Here is a 17,017-nt window from a genome sequence, read left to right on the forward strand (position 1 = left end):
CTGCCTGGATGGGGTTTACTGTCTAGCATAGAAGACAGGCACTGAACAAGTTCATATAGATATCCAATTATGACAAGATGCCAGGCTAAAATAACCTGAAAGCCTCACACTACAAAATCCGAGAAATTCTGGGTAAAATAACAAGTACCTGAGCTTCAGGAACCAGAAACTAGGGAAGTAGAGGGTAACCCACAGCAACAAGTGCTGACTACTGTTGTGCTGGTCCTGAGAAGGTGTAGTTACCAGAGCCCATAAAGACCACAAATATCAATGACCACAATGGCTAGTGGCTTGGATAGTATTGCCCTGGTAAAGAGAAGACCCAGGACTCGGGCCAATGATAGGGAGTTGGAATTAAAACCCTTCCATGAAGCACTGGAATGCTTGACAAAAACAAACCTCAGAGAGAGAGACTTCCACAGACAGAGCTGACTCATGACCAGCTTCCTGAAAGCTTACACTTCTTTAAACTTTTATCCAGGCATACCCCAAATTCACAGGGATACCTATCACGTTCTCCAAATGATTCTCTGACATGTCCCTCACTTGGACTGACAAGGGAGAAAAGAAAGAAGGAGAAACACCACAGAGCACATCAACAATTCTCTCTGGAGAAATCATCATTTTAATTTTTATACCCAAGAGGATAATAATTTAAGAGTCACAAAAAAAATCCTTCACAATCTCTTAGCATGCTCTTCATATGTTATCAAACACCTACTGATCTCAAATAAAACTCCCAGAACACGGAAAGTCAGATTTAACATTCTGTTATATGTGTATATTAAAAATGTTAAGGAAACTACCATAAAGAAAAAAAACAAAAACAGAGGCCGGGCATGGTGGCTCATGCCTGTAATCCCAGCACTTTGGGAGGCCAAGATGGGCAGATCACCTGAGGTCAGGAGTTCAACACCAGCCTGGCCAACATGGCAAAACCCCACCTCTACTAAAAATATAAAACTTAGCCGGGCATGGTAGCATGCACCTGTAGTCCCAGCTACTCGGGAGGTTGAGTCAGGAGAATCACTTGAACCTGGGAGGTGGAGGTTGCAGTGAGCCGAGATCGCTCTAATGCACTCCAGCCTGGGTGACACAGCGAGACTCCATCTCAAAAAAAAAAAGAGAGAGAGAAAGAAAGAAAAAAAACAAATAGAATGCATGATTTTACCAGTTGAGGAAAAGGGGTATGAAATAAAGAAAACATTAGAAAACATTAACCAATTCAATATTAGAAATAAAATAAGAAGGGAAAAAGAGGTATGATATATAGAAATGAGGTGATAGAAACAAATCTTTCATTATCATAATAAATATAGATTAAACTCATCACATAAAAGAGAGACCAAATTGAATATTTAAATGAATTAAGTACGTGCTGTTTATAAGAGAAAAATCTAAAACGTAAGACATAGAAACTTTACAGTATCATGGGCTTCTGTTCCTTAAAATGATCTGAAAGCAATAAGGAGAGTAAAAAAAATCTTTGCAAGCTCAACATTCAGCAAAACAAGGAGAAGTATAATCTGTAGACAACAAATTACATGTAAAAGTTGGGAAAAGCAGCTCAAATGAGGAACAACTATAGGGAGGAAGTGGAGACAAGAAACTATGCAAAGAAATTTGAGCAGAAAGAAAGACAAACAGAAGCAGATATAAGAAAACACCTGTGGTGGCTCACGCCTGTAATCCCAGCACTTTGGGAGGCCGAGGCGGGTGGATCATGAGGTCAGGAGATCAAGAGCATCCTGGCCAACATGGTGAAACTTTGTCTCTACTAAAAATACAAAAATTAGCCGGGTGTGGAAGTGTGTGCCTGTAGTCCCAGCTATTCAAGAGGCTGAGGCAGGAAAATTGCTTGAACCCGGGAGATGGAGGTTGCAGTGAGCCGAGATCGTGCCACTGCACTCCAGCCTGGGCGACAAAGCGAGACTTCATCTCAACAAAGAAAAAAAAAAAAAAAGAAAGAAAAAGAAAAAGCAAAGGAAAAGAAAACACCTGGGAAATTAAATTTCCTACAGGTGAGGAGTCCACCGTCAGGTAGGGATCTATACCTCTTGTTTGCAACTACACTGTAAGAAACTGGAAAGCAAAAACAGAGGAGACAGAGTTGATCAGTCTCCTACAAAAGCCATATGTGAGGCAGAAGGAACCTCTTAAAAGAAAAACTCATCCAGGAAAACCCAACTTAGGCAATGTTCTGCAAGAAAAAAGGGACTAGCTACATTAACCCAAAACTACAAAACGAACTCTGAAGGAAAGAGTAACAAAGTAAACTAACATATGAAGAGCTTTCACTGGAAAACTGCCTCAATGGATCAGATAAAAATTATAACTAGGCCAGGTGTGGTGGCTTTTGCTTGTAATCTCAGCACTTCAGGAGGCTGAGGTGAGAAGATTGCTTCAGCCCAGGAGTTCAAGACCAGCCTGGGCAACATAGCGAGACCCCGTCTCTACAAAAAATAAAAAACTAGCCAGGAGTGGTGGCATACTACTGTAGTCTCAGCTACTCAGGAGGTTGAGGTGGGAAGATTGCTTGAGCCCTGGAGGTTGAGGCTGCAGTGAGCTATGATCTCACCACTGCACTCCAGCCTGGACAACAGAGTGAGACACTGTCTCAAAAACAAAAAAAAATTATAACCAAATATTTTGCCGTGAATGAAAAAAAAGACTTGATGCAATTTCCTCTGTGATGGAAGACCACAAAGCAAAAATATAAAAATCCAGGGAGGAGATGCTGAAAGAACAGGGTAAGAACAAATAGAGAGCAGGCAGAAATCGAAGAAAAATCAAGTATCACAAGCATAAGGACAAAAGTTGAAAGAACACAAGGGAGAAAAACCCAGTGAAGAACCTGGAGGACAAAAATGGGAAAAGCAGGCCGGGCGTGGTGGCTTACACCTGTTATCCCAGCACTTTGGGAGGCCGAAGCGAGAGGATCACTTGAGGTCAGGAGTTCAAGACCAGCCTGGCAAGCATGGAGAAACCCCGTCTCTACTAAGAAATACAAAAATTAGCTGGGCATAGTGGTGTGTGCCTCTAATCTCAGCTACTTGGGAGGCTGAGGCAGGAGAATCGCTTGAACCCAGGAGGCAGAGGTTGCAGTGAGCCGAGATGGGACCACTGCACTCCAACCTGGGCGACAGAACAAGATTCAGTCTCAAAATGAAAAAACAAACAAACAAAAAAAACAAACAACAACAAAAAAAAACCAGAAAGAATTACTTAGAAAATATGTAGTTTCAACAAATGTTGCTGGGACAACTGAATATCTACATGCAGCATAATAAATTTGGACTTCTACCTCAAACCATTAAAAAAATTAGCACGAAATAGATCAAATACCTAAATATAAGAACTAAAACCAGGAATCTTTGTCACTTTGGACTAGGCAACGGTTTCGCAGACATGGCAAACCATAAGCAACTAAAAAAAAACTGGACTTCATCAAAATTAAAAACCTTTGTGCACTAAGGAAAGGACACTATTAAAAAAACTGAAAGATTTCACACAGGTCCAAGATTTGCTGAAAAAGGAAAAAAAAAGAAAGAAAAAGTGAAAAGACAACCCACAGAATGAGAGAAAATATTTGTAAATCATGTATCTAATACGGGCCTAGTATCCTGAATATATAAAGAACTGTTACAACTGAACTACAAAAAGGCAAATAACCCAGTTAAAAATTGGACAAAGGATTTGAATAGAAATTACTACAAAGATATATACAGGCTGGGTGAGGTGGCTCATGCCTATAATCCCAGCACTTTAGGAGGCCAAGGCAGGCAGATCACCTGAGGTCAGGAGTTTGAGATCAGCCTGGTCAACATGGCGAAACCCTGTCTCTACTAAAAATACAAAAATGAGCCAGGCGTGGTGGCATGCACCTGTACTCCCCGCTATTTGGGAGGCTGAGACAGGAGAATCCCTTGAACCTGGGAGGCGGAGGTTGCAGTGAGCCGAAATCGTGCCACTGCACTGTAGCCTGGGAGAGCCAGATTTCGTCTCCAAATATATGTGTGTGTGTGTGTGTGTGTGTGTGTGTGTGTATACAAATGGCTAAGAGCCACATGAAAAGATGCTCAACATCACTGGTTATTAGGGAAATGCAAATCAAAACCTCAATAAGATACTTCACATCTACCAAGATGGCTTTAATTTTTTTTAATGGAAAATAACAAGTGTTGGCAAGGAAATGGAGAAATGGGTACCCTCTGACATTGCTTGTGGGAATGTCAGATGGTGCAGTGGCTGTGGAAAACAGTATAGTCAATTGTTTTAATTTAATGTTGTCTTGGTATCAATTTTAAATACAAGTTTAACTTTCTCATACAAGAAACAGGAATCAGTCACCCTTGACACAGTTTTCAGTTCCATACCACACCTAAAGGACTCAGGACGGTGGCCAGAGATAAGAACTTAGAGGCATCTCTCCCACCTAGAAGACTGGGCTCCCTGCGGTTCCACAGCTTCCTTTAAAATAATTTGTCGGCTGGGAGCAATGACTCACACCTGTAATCCCAGCACGCTGGGAGGCTGAGGCGGGTGGATCATTTGAGGTCAGGAGTTCGAGACCAACCTGGCCAACATGGTGAAACCCTGTCTCTACTAAAAATACAAAAAATTAGCTGGACATGGTGGCGGGCACCTGTAATCCCAGCTACTTTGGAAGCTGAGGCAGGAGAATCTCTTGAACCTAGGAGGCAGAGGTTGCAGCGAGCCAAGATTGTGCCACTGCACTCCAGCCTGGGCAACAGAGTAAGACACTGTCTCAAAAAAAAATTTATTATATTAAATAAATAATAATAATAATAAATAATAAATAAAATAAAATAATTCGCCTATGGGCCAGGCACGATGGCTCATGCCTGTAATCCCAGCACTTTGGGAGGCCAAGGTGGGTAGATCACTTCAGGTCAGGAGTTCAAGACCAGCCTGGCCAACACGGCGAAACCCCAGCTCTATTAAAAATACAAAAATTAGCCAGGCATGTTGGTGCACGCCTGTAGTCTCAGCTACTTGGGAGGCTGAGGCAGGAGAATTGCTTGAACGCAGGAGACAGAGGTTGCAGTGAGCCGGGATCAGACAGAACAAAACTCCATCTCTAAATAAATAAATAAGCCTGTGAACTTAAAGTGATCCACACCCTGTTCCCTTATATATACTGCCAGTTTCTTCTCTCTTTCTCTCTGGCCACCTGACTCTTCATTCCTGCCTTGCATGTTCCGGGGACATCTGGACTGCCTTCCAGACTCACTGTGCCTTCCCTGCCCAGGATCTGTAAGTAAAAAAATCTTTGAACCTGTTTTCTATTGTGGTAATGTGTTGGATTTGCACCTTCCATCTAAAAAACTAGGGGCTGCCTCAGGCTGGGTTTCCCCAAGGATGCGAGAGGGAACATAACGCTGGGCTCCCGGTGTCAGAGCTGGGGCATGGGTCAGACAAGAGCCACAAGGACATCTGCCAGTATAAACAAGTTTCCTGCACAAAGTTTCCCCTGGTCATGGGTGGGACAACTGAGAGTCAGGATGTCTACCAGGTAAAAGAAATATTCTAGGCCAGGTGTGGTGGCTCACACTTGTAATCCCGGCACTTTGGGAGACCGAGGTGGGAGGATCTCATGAGTCTGGGAATTTGAGACCAGCCTAGGCAACAGAGTGAGACATCATCTCAAAAAAAAAAAAAAAGTATTCTGTGAAAGTCACACTGTAAACACCCATATCCAGCTCCCCTTCATTTCCCATTAGGTTTAGGATTGCTAGCTGCTCTGGTACTGGAACCCAATTTTTTTTTTTTTTTTTTTTTTGAGATAGAGCCTTGCTCTGTTGCCCAGGCTGGAGTGCAGTGGCACTATCTCAGCTCACTGCAACCTCTGCCTCCCAGGTTCAAGTGATTCTCCTGGCTCAGCCTCCAGAGTAGCTGGGACTACAGGAGTGTGCCATCACATCCGGCTAATTTTTGAATTTTCAGTAGAGACGGGGTTTCACCATGTTGGCCAGGCTGGTCTCAAACTCCTGACCTCAAGTGATCCAACCACCTCAGCCTCACAAAATGCTGGGATTACAGGGGTGAGCCACCTTGATTTTTTTATTATTAAGTTCAACATACATTAGATTACTCTGTAAAACTGCTATAAAAGTTCCTAAATGCTTACTCTGAATTTCTGTACTTATCTTGTGGAGGAGAAGGACAAATAGCTCCCAGCTGACACCAGTGTGCTAATGGAGGACCTCCTTTGGGATTTCTATCCCTAGCTGAACAATTCTAGCCCTTTCTTTTCCACCTAGCAAGAGTCACTACCTCTTTTTCTTCTTTTATCTTACTAAATTTCTACCATAAGTAAAGCTTATTTATTTTATTATTATTTTTAGATGGATTCTCACTCTGTCACCCAGGCTGGAGTGCAGTGGTACAATCTCGGCTCACTGCAAACTCTGCCTCCTGGGTTCAAGCAATTTTCCTCCCTCGGCTTCCTGAGTAGCTGGGATTACAGGTGTGCACCACCATGGCTGGCTAATTTTTGTATTTTTAGTACAGACAGGGTTTCACCATGTTGGCCAGGCTGGTCTGGAACTCCTAACCTCAGGTGATCTGCCTGCCTCGGCTTCCCAAAGTGCTGGGATTACAGCCATGAGCCACCACACCCAGCCTACCATAAGTAAAGTTTAAACTTTCCAAAATCCTGCATACAACTCTCAAGTACATGCAAGGGAAGACCAAGTGGCCCCTGCAAAGAAGGATTTTTTAAAATGAGAAAATTAAACATATTTAAAAGTCAAGGGGAAGAAGCCACTAAGAAGGGAGAGTGAAAGTACAGGAAAGAGAGAGTGGGCTGCTACAGCAAGCTGATGTGTGAAGAGAAATAAGAGTTCGATCCCACAATCTCAGAGCCTTCCCAAAGTTTCCTCTGGTGATTTACGACTAGGAGCTCTAACTGGGAAAATGGGGGTTTCCTGACGCTTCTAAATCTTAGACTAAGACTTCATTCCATTAAGTTTTTGGTGAGAGTCAGATATTTCACTTTAACCCTTCTTGACCTCAGAGAAATTCCCTGTTCTTTTTCCCTACTAAAGCATTTAGAAAAAGAGAGGCTGGGTGCAGTGGCTCATGCCTGTAATCCCAGCACTTTTGGAGGCCAAGGCGGATGGATCACCTGAGGTCAGGAGTTCATGACCAGCCTGGCCAACACGGCAAAACCCCATCTCTTCTAAAAGTACAAAAATTAGCATGCACCTGTAATCCCAGCTATTTGAGAGGCTAAGGCAGGAGAATCACTTGAACCTTGGAGGCGGAGGTTGCTGTGAGCTGAGATCGCCCCACTGCACTCCAGCCTGGGCGACAGTGAGACTTTGTCTAAAAAAAAGAAAAGAAAAAGACAGTGAGATAATGAAATAAAAATGCATTATAATTTTAAAATGCAGTATTAATGCAGGGTGCTATTAAGTATGAGAGAAGTGAGGGGCACACTGAAATCAAGGGAGAATGAGATGGAACAGAAACTTTAGAGTCAAATAGACTTACATTTAAAAAGCTAGATTTTCCCCTTCAACTTTTTTTCCTTTGGACTTTTCAGATTGAACAAAGTTTTATCTCATCTATGGCAGACGTCTTAATGAGGTCAGTGGGACCAATGCCACTCAATATACATTCGCCCCATGGGGAAAACCTGTTACTAACATCATACAAACATCATAGGCTTCCCCTCTGAATCTCCATTGCCTCCTGGCTCACACACAGAGGATTACATGCCCCTAGTTCTAGAAGAGACAGACTCCAGCTACAATTTCCCCTAGAAAGAGTGTCACTGGCTTCAACATCATAATGCCTCGGACTCCCCCAGCCCCTCCCCCATATGTCCAGTGAAAGCAGCAACATGAAGAGCATGAAAATCCCCACATGAATATGCCAAGCGCTGGGAGGCAGGGGAAATCTGGTAGTTTGTGATAGTGGAAAGGGGTCACTACATTGCGGTGGGATGGCGAGATTTAAACTGTCCTTTTATGACAGAATGACTTTCTGAGGGCTGGCCATTTGAGATCCTACAGCCGGATGAGTAGAGACACTAATATATTGTGAGGGAGGGCAGGGAGTGTGACCCTTTTATCTAAATAAACTTTATTGTGTGCTTACATGTGCCAGACACTGCTCTAGGAACTGTTCATGCCTTGTCTCCAAACACTGCCTTAAAGCAGGGCTGCCAGATAAAATACAGTTACATTTGAACTTGATGCCCGGTTACATTTGAATTTCAGTGAAAAATATTTGGGAGATACATGCTAAAAAATTCTGTTTTCTTTTTCTTTGTTTTGTTTTGTTTTGTTTTTTGAGATGGAGTTTTGCTTTTGTTGCCCAGGCTGGAGTGCAATGGCGCAATGGCAGCTCACCGCAACCTCTGCCTTCCGGGTTCAAACGATTCTCCTGCCTCAGCTTCCCGAGTATCTGGGATTACAGGCGCCGGCCACTACGCCCAGCTAATTTTTGTATTTTCAGTAAAGACGGGGTTTCTCCATGTTGGTCAGGCTGGTCCCGAACTCCTGATCTCAGGTGATCCGCCCGCCTCGGCCTCCCAAAGTGCTGGGATTACAGGCAGGAGCCACAGCGCCCGGCCCTTGTTTTCTTTTTTAACTGACATCCAAACTTAATTGGGTGTCCTCCATTTTAATTTGCTAAATAAAATGTGGCAATACTACTTAAAGCTACTATCATTCCCCTTCCTCCAGGTGAGGAAATGCCCCACCACACAGCCAGAATGTGGCAGGGCGAAGAGTCAGACTCCAGACATGTGCTGAGCCATTATGCCATTGTCCCGCCTGGCCGTGCTGGGATGTGCATGGGACGCTCTGGCCTTTGTGACAGAGGCCTTGCATCAGCGGTTTGCAAGCATGGCCGGCTCTTTACGGTTCTACGGGGTCCCCATGCAGCCCTTCATAAAGGCAACGCTTGAGTTCCACCAGGCCGGAAGAAGCCATGAAACAAAAGCTATGAGAAGGCCGGGCGCGGTGGCTCACGCCTGTAATCCCAGCACTTTGGGAGGCCGAGGCGGGCGGATCACCTGAGGTCAGGAGTTCAAGACCAGCCTGGCCAACATGGCGAAACCCCTTCTCTACTACAAAAATTAGCCCGGCATGGTGGCGCGTGCCTGTCATCCAAGCTACAAAGTAGGCTGAGGCAGGAGAATCGCTTGAACCCGGGAGGCGGAGGCTGCAGTGAGCCGAGATCGCGCCACTGCACTCCAGCCTGGGCAACAGAGGCGACTCTGTCTCAAAAATAACACACACACACACACACACACACACACACACGGAAAACACGGCCCTGGACTCCGTGTATAGAACCTGGTGTCTCAGGGCGTTGGGCAGGAGCAGAGGCAGGTGTCTAAGCCGGACCATTGGCTCCCTTCCGCGCCAGCCCGGTGTGCTATGAGAACCTTGTTGCCGCCTAGCTGAAGCTGGGAAAAGCAGCCGCCGCACTTTGGCGAGAAAGCACGCGGAACCCACCGAACGCGCATGCGTGCAAGCCAGGGCGGGGCTAGGGCGCGCGCGCAAAGGAGGGGCTCTACCATCCGCGGAGCCACGCCCTCCGTCACATCCCACCTCCCCGCCCAGGAGCTTCCGCGAGGCTCGCCCGGCAGCTCCTGCTCCACAGCAGGCTTCCTACTTTGACGCCTCACGCGCTCTTCAGCTCTCTTTTTCTGTGGGTCTCGCGGCTCTCCCCCTCTACAATTACGAGTAGTGCCTTGAGCCGGGCGTTCGGAGACCCACACAGGAGGGACAGGATGGGGAGAGCGGCATTAAAGGGTGGTGACTCAGGAGTTCAAGACCAGCCTGGCCAACATGACGAAACCCCGTCTCTACCAAAAATACAAAAATTAGCCAGGCATGATGGCGGACGCCTGTAATCCCACCTACTCGGGCGGCTGAGGCAGGAGAATCGCTTGAACCCGGGAGGCGGAGGTTGCAGTGAGGCGAGATAGCGCCACTACACTCCAGCCTGGGCGACAGAGCGAGACTCCGTCTCAAAATAAAAATAAAAAAAAAATAAAGGCGGGGTGGTGGTGGTGACAAGCCCCTATTACGGCCTTAGTGCGGGATTCCCCTTGGGGCGGGAGACGTCGTCCTTCCGGGTGCGGGTGCGGACTGCAAGTCCTATCGGGGACCGCGACACCGGACTGCATCCGCCAGCGTCCAGGGCGTAGCGCCCCCCAGGCGCTGCCTTCGTCCATCTCTACGGGGAGTGGCGGCCAGAAGACTGGGTTTTCCCCGTGCAGCTGTGCCCCACGTTGGGGAAACTGACTTTTCAGGTAAGATCCCTTCCAAGTTCCATGGATTTCGCCTTTCCCTTTAACCTGTTCCCCAGCGTCCTCTGGTGATAGCAGATGAGGGTGGTGACAGGAATACTAAAGTTCCCCATCTGCCTCGTGTTGGAAGTCTCCATGGTGTTCACCTCCCCAATGTTGCCTGCAAGTAGATAGGAGCAGAGATGGTACTTGGGGAGGTGACCGGAACTATGGCTCCTAACATACAGGGCGTTGGGAACTACGGCTCCTAACATACAACTCTCAGTTTGCCCCGTCTGTAGCTCCCTGTATTTCGTCTCTCCCTCCCCCTCAAAGTTCCCAAAGAGAAAAGGTGGAGGCGACAGGTGGATTGCAGCTCTCAGGAGATCCTGTGGGAAGAGGGAGCCTTCCCAGCAGGCGCCAGGCGGTGGCTTCCGCTCCCTAAGTAGCCAAGCTGCACCCTGGCCCGCATGTGGCTGGAGAAAAGTGCACTGCCACCCTGCTCCCGCTTTCAAGTTATAACCACGAACCTCAAGTAGTTCTTAGTGCTCCCCCGCAGACACACTGTTTAGGGTTTTGTTGTGTTTTTAGTCCACTCACTGCCAAACACAACTTTTCAAACCGACCGCACACTCCCATTGCCTCCCTCTAGGCTAATAAGTGCTTCTTCACTGAGAAAACCAAAGCTATCAGATGAGATTCTCTACAGACTCCCAGCACCATGCCTACCTATCTGCATCTCTGCTCATATACACTGCCTCTCCTCTCTTGCCGCAAATGAACTAACCATGTTCTTATCTAAAGTCCATTCAGCAATTAGGCACTAGATTCCACCCCCTTTTATCTGTCCAGTTTTTGTTTGTTTGTTTAGACGGAGTCTTGCTCTGTAGCCCAGGCTGGAGTGCAGTGGTGCGATCTCGGCTCACTGCAACCTCTGCTTCCCGGGTTCAGGTGATCCTTCCACCTCAGCCTCCTGAGTAGCTGGGACTACAGGCATGTGCCACCACACCCAGCTAACTTTTGTATTTTTAGTAGAAACGTGGTTTCACCATGTTGGCCAGGCTGGTCTCAAACTCCTGACCTCAAGTGGTCCACCTGCCTCGGCCTCCCAAAGTGCTAGGATTACAGGTGTGAGCCAGCGTGCCCAGCCAAAAGCAGGAGCTCTGTCCAGTTCTTGACTCCAGCAATTCCCTCACCTTGAAAACAAACAACGCACACACGCTCGCGCGCACACACACACACACACACACACGTTAAAAAATTCCCCTACTCCCATCAACCACTGCTCCATTCCAGGCAGAACTCATAGAAAGTATTATCTATATTTCCTGCCTCTAATTTCTCTTTTCTTGTCCTCTATTGAACCCATTCCAATTACACTTCAGCATCTGTCACTACCAGAACTGTCCTTGTCAAGGTTACCAACAATCATCTTGCTAAATTTAATGGTTGACTTTCGATTGTTATTCTACCTGACCTGTTGGCAGCACTTAACACAAATAATCACCCCCTCCTCCTTAATACACTTTCTTCACTTAGTTTCCTTGACATCACGCATTCTTGGTTTTCTTTCTACCTCATTAGCCTCTCCTTCTCCATCTTCTGTACTGATTCTTCCACTTTTCTTTAACCTGTTAATATTGATGCTCCTCCGAACTCAATCTTTGTTCCTCTTCCTTATCCACACTCCCTTGGTCATCTCATCCAGTCTCATGGCTTTAGGTATCTTCTCATCTGGGGTTCATAATATGGCCCCTTGTTACTTTTTTTTTTTTTTGAGACACAGTCTTCACTCTGTCACCCAGGCTGGAGTGCAGTGGTGCAATCTCAGCTCAACGCAACCTCCTCCTCCCAGGTTCAAGCAATTCTGCCTCAGCCTCCCAAGTAGCTGAGATTACAAGCGCCCGCCACCACGCCTGGCTAATTTTTGTATTTTCAGTAGAGACGGGGTTTCACCATGTTGGCCACATGGGTCTCGAACCCCTGACCTTCAGTGATCCGCCCGCCTCGGCTTCCCAAAGTGCTGGGATTACCGGTGTTAGCCATCGCGCCCAGCCTACTTTCTGATCTCATTTTCTGTTACTCTCCTCTTCACTCAATTTGCTGCAGGTATACTGGCGTTTTTGCTGTTCTTCCAACCTGCCAGGCACCTCATTGGTATCAATGTTTGCCACATTTATAACTCCAGCTCATACCTTTCCCCTCAACTCCAGAGTCATATATCCAATTGCCTATTAGACAAAGTAAACATCTAATAGGCCTCTTAATCTCAATTTGTCCAAAACTGAATTTATGAGTTCCTAATCTTCCTTCCGGTATCCACTTCCTTGTTAATCTGCCCCAACACGATTGTACCTCCAGCCTTCCAACTGTTCAAGCCAAAAAACCCTGAAGTCATCATTAACTCTTCCTTTTCGCTCATACCCACACCCAGTCTTATCAGTAAATCCTTATGGCTCATCCTCCAAATAGATCCAGATCTGCCCAATAGTCCTCTTTCCCCTAGATTACTGTAGCAGACTCTTCATTCATTCCGCTGCTTCCACTCCCCTTCCCTGGATTTCTGCCTACCTCACTGCAATCTAGTCTCTACATAGCAATCAAAGTGCTTTTTAAAAATGTAAGACTGCAACACTCCTCGGCTCAAACTCTCCCATGGTTTCCATCTCTTGCAGAGTAAAAGCCAAGACCTTAAAATGGTTCCAAAGTCCCAACATAATCTGGCCCCGTTACTCCAGGAACACTGGCCTTTTTGCTGTTTTCCAAACCTGCCAGGTACCTTATTGCCATTGTTTTGCCATTGTAGATAAGCGTATTTATTTATTTATTTTATATATATATTTTTTGAGACAGAGTTTCGTTCTTGTTGCCCAGGCTGGCGTGTAATGGTGCAGTCTCAGTTCACTGCAACCTCTGCCTCCGGGGTTCAAGCGATTCTCCTGCCTCAGCCTCCCAAGTAGCTGGGATTCCAGGCATGCGCCACCACGCCCGGCTAATTTTGTATTTTTAGTAGAGACGGGGTTTCTCCATGTTGGTCAAGCTGGTCTCGAACTCCCAACCTCATGTGATCTGCCCGCCTCGGCCTCCCAAAGTGCTGGGATTACAGGCATGAGCCACGGCGCCCAGCCATAGATAAGCTTTTGATTTGCTTGTAACCAATAAAAAATGTTTTTAAAAAAATCAGCCAGGCACAATGGCGTACACCTGTAATCCCAGCATTGAACCCAGGAGGTTGAGGTGGCAGTGAGCATGATTGACTGTGCCACTGCACTTCAGCACGGATGACAGACCAAAACCCTGTCTCAAAACAAACAAACAAAAAAGTCTAATCTGTAAGGAGCAGGAGAAATAGGATGTTTTTTTTTTGAGACAGAGTCTCGCCCTGTTGCCCAGGTTGTAGTGCAATGGCGTGACCTCGGCTCACTGCAACCTCTACCTCCCGAGTTCAAGCGATTCTCCTGCCTCAGCCTCCTGAGTAGCTGGGATTACAGGTGCACCCCACCACACCCGGCTAATTTTTTGTATCTTTAGTAGAGACGGGGTTTCACCATGTTGGCCAGGCTGGGTTGGCCAGGCTGGTCTCGAACTCCTGACCTCGTGATCCACCCGCCTCAGCCTCCCAAAGTGCTGGGATTACAGGTGTGAGCCACTGCGCCCAGCTGAGAAATAGAATTTTTTAAAAGTATGTGGTATATATTTATTGGTATTAAAGTTTTATAATTAGCTGAAGGTTGAAGCTATTGATATTAAAGGTTCAGTGGCTTTATATGCTATCTATTTATTGTATATGCCATTTATTGGAATTAAGGTTCTATAATTAGCTAAAGGTTGATAGTATTGTTTAGATCCTTGGGATCTTTTCTTTCTCTGATTAAATCTCTCAACCATTTATTTCTCTCTGCCTTTCTGTTAAAATATCCAAAAGCAGGCCAGGTGTGGTGGCTCACACCTGTAATCCCAGCACTTTGAGAGGCTGAGGCAAGTGGATCATTTGAGGTCAGGAGTATGAGACCAGCCTGGCCAACATGGTGAAACCCTGTCTCTACGGAAAATACAAAAATTAGATGGGTGTGGCTGGGCATGGTGGCTCACGCCTGTAATCCCAGCTCTTTGGGAGGCCTAGGTGGGTGGATTATGAGGTTAGGAGTTCGAGACCAGCCTGGCCAACATAGTGAAACCCCATCTCTACTAAAAATACAAAAATTAGCCAGGCAGGATGGCAGGTGCCTGTAATCCCAGCTACTTGGGAGGCTGAGGCAGGAGAATCACTTGAACCTGCGAGGCAGAGATTGCCGTCAGCTAAGATCACGCCACTGCACCACTCCAGCCTGGATGACAGAGAAAGACTCCATCTTAGGAAAAAAAAAAAAAAAGGTGTTACAATTTCTTATTGAGTATTCAAATTTCCAACAATCTGTTTCTCCTTATGGTTTTGTCACTTTGCTATATTTTAGGCAGGATTGTTAGCTGCCTGTTTAAGATTAACATTTTTCCTTCTGTTGTACTTTTTATTAGATTTTTCTTTGTCCTTTATTATTTTTTATGTTTTTATACATATATCATAGTTGTACATATTTGGGGGGGTACATGTGCTATTTCGATACCTGTAAACAATGTGGAACTATCAAGTCAGGGTAATTGGGATACCCATCACCTCAAACATCTGTCATTTCTTTTCTTTTCTTTCTTTTTCTTTTCTTTCTTTTTGAGACAGTCTCACTCTGTTGCCCACGCTGGAGTGCAGTGGTGCAATCTCGGCTCACTGCAACCTCTGCCTCCAGGGTTCAAGCAATTCTGCATCCACCTCCACCTAGTACCTGGGATTACAGGCACATGCGCCACCATGCCTGGCTTATTTTTGTATTTTTAGTAGAGAGGGGGTTTCACCATGTTGGCCAGGCTGGTCTTGAACTCCTGACCTCAGGTGATCCACCCACCTCAGCCTCCCAAAGTGCTGGGATTACAGGCGTGAGCCACCTTGCCAGGCCGATTTGTCTTTTCTTTGTGTTGAAAACATTACAGTTCTTCTCTTCTATTTTGAAATATATAATAATTGTTCACTATAATTTCCCTACTGTACTATCGAATATTAGATTCTATATAACTGTAGTTTTGTACACATTAACCAACCAACTTCTCTTTATGTACCCTCTCTCCCCTTCCCTTCCCAGTCTTTGGTAACCACCATTTTACTCTGTTTTATCTTGACTTTAAATTTTGTTTTGTGAGCTAGTAGGACTGCTACTTTAGGTGTCTTTTAATTCATATTTATGTAGCATATAATTTTACTTCCTTTTATTTTCAAGCTTTCTTTTTATTTTAAATGTATTATTCCTTGACAACATATTATTGGACCTTGGTTTTTTTAATCCAGTCTGAAAGTCTCTGCCTTTTAAAGGGTAAGTTTGGCTGGACGTGGTGGCTCATAGTGGCTAGCCAACATGGTGAAACCCCGTCTCTACCAACAATATACAAAAATTAGCCAGGTGTGGTGGTGCATGCCTGCAGTCCCAGCTACTCGGGAGACTGAGGTGGGAGACTCCCTTGAACCTGGAAGGCAGAAGTTGCGGTGAGCTAAGATCATGCCACTGCACTCCAGGCTGGGTGATGCCCAGCCCCCTATTTATATCTTAAATTTATCACTATTTGTACCTTCTGTGTCAGTCTCGATCCACTTAAGAAATATAAAACACACAGTGGGCTAAACAAAAGAAATTTAATATAAAAAGTTTTTAAATTCTGATCAAATAATGATTACAGGCCGGGCGCGGTGGCTTACGGCGTAATCCCAGCACTTTGGGAGGCTGAGGCGGGCAGATCACCTGAGGTCAGGAGTTCGAGACCAGCCTGGCCAACATGGTGAAACCCCGTCTCTACTAAAAATACAAAAATTAGTTGGGCGTGGTGGCAGACACCTGTAATCCCAGTTTCTTGGGAGACTGAGGCAGGAGAATCACTTGAACCCGGGAGGCGGAGGTTGCAGTGAGCCGAGATGGTGCCATTGCACTCCAGCCCGGGTGACAGAGCAAGTCTCAAAAAAATATATATATATATTACAAGCTATAAGGAAACTCCATATGGCAACCTAGGACTAAGAGAGAATACTCAAAGAAGGACAAACTTGGAAAAGGGCTCCCTCCCCAAAGCTGGAGTTCAGACGTAACTGGAGAAGACAAAGCCCATTAGCCAAGCACCGTGGCTCATGCCTGCAGTTCCAGGTACTTAGGAGGCTGAGGCTGCAGTGAGCCATGATCATGCCACTGTACTCCAGCCTGGACAACAGAGCAAGACCATGTCTCCCCCTCCAAAAAAAATAATAAGGAAGAAGAAGAAAAAGAAGAAGGAGGAGGAGGAGGAAGGAGGAGGGGGGAGGGAGGAAGGAGGAGAAGAAGGAGGAGAAAAGAAGAAGAAAAGAAGGAGAAGAAGGAGGAGAAAAGAAAAGGAGGAGGAGAAGGAGGAGGAAAGAAGAAAGAAGAAGAAGGAGGAGGAGGAGAAGGAGAAGAAGGAGGAAGAGGAGGAGGGGTGGGGGGAGGAGGAAGAGGGAAGCAGAAGGAAGCAGGAAAAGTTTGCCAGTTTTCCCAGGCTGGAGCTGGTCTGCAGTTTCTGAACAAACAGAAAGCAACCATCCAGAGTGCAGGCAAAGCACAGACAATCAGCGACCTGTGGCATGGGTGTGCGGAAGAAGCAGAGACGTCTGGGGCACTGGTTTTCCATATTAATGCAGGAAGGTAATTGTAAGGCCAC

The 17,017-nt window shown here is 45.9% G+C and overlaps 1 long non-coding RNA gene and 1 pseudogene across 3 annotated transcripts in view; one reads left to right on the top strand and one right to left on the bottom strand.

Annotated features, from left to right (window-relative positions):
* WDR87BP (WD repeat domain 87B, pseudogene) overlaps positions 1 to 9,425 on the bottom strand; it is a 31,475-nt pseudogene extending 22,050 nt beyond the window's left edge. Inside the window, exons 1-2 of the transcript NR_040015.1 lie at positions 9,333 to 9,425; positions 8,128 to 8,191 (exon numbers count right to left, since the gene is read on the bottom strand). The product of NR_040015.1 is annotated as a WD repeat domain 87B, pseudogene (transcript). The remainder of the gene's footprint in view (positions 1 to 8,127; positions 8,192 to 9,332) is intronic.
* A 567-nt stretch (positions 9,426 to 9,992) lies between these two features.
* The window catches only part of LOC105372395 (uncharacterized), a 40,910-nt gene continuing 33,885 nt past the window's right edge, over positions 9,993 to 17,017 (top strand). For both annotated transcript variants that reach the window (XR_935962.3, XR_935961.2), the window contains exons 1-2: positions 9,993 to 10,297; positions 12,949 to 13,048. This is a non-coding gene — a long non-coding RNA (uncharacterized LOC105372395). The remainder of the gene's footprint in view (positions 10,298 to 12,948; positions 13,049 to 17,017) is intronic.

This window comes from Homo sapiens, chromosome 19 (assembly GCF_000001405.40).
Source record: "Homo sapiens chromosome 19, GRCh38.p14 Primary Assembly".
Lineage (NCBI taxonomy): Eukaryota > Metazoa > Chordata > Mammalia > Primates > Hominidae > Homo > Homo sapiens.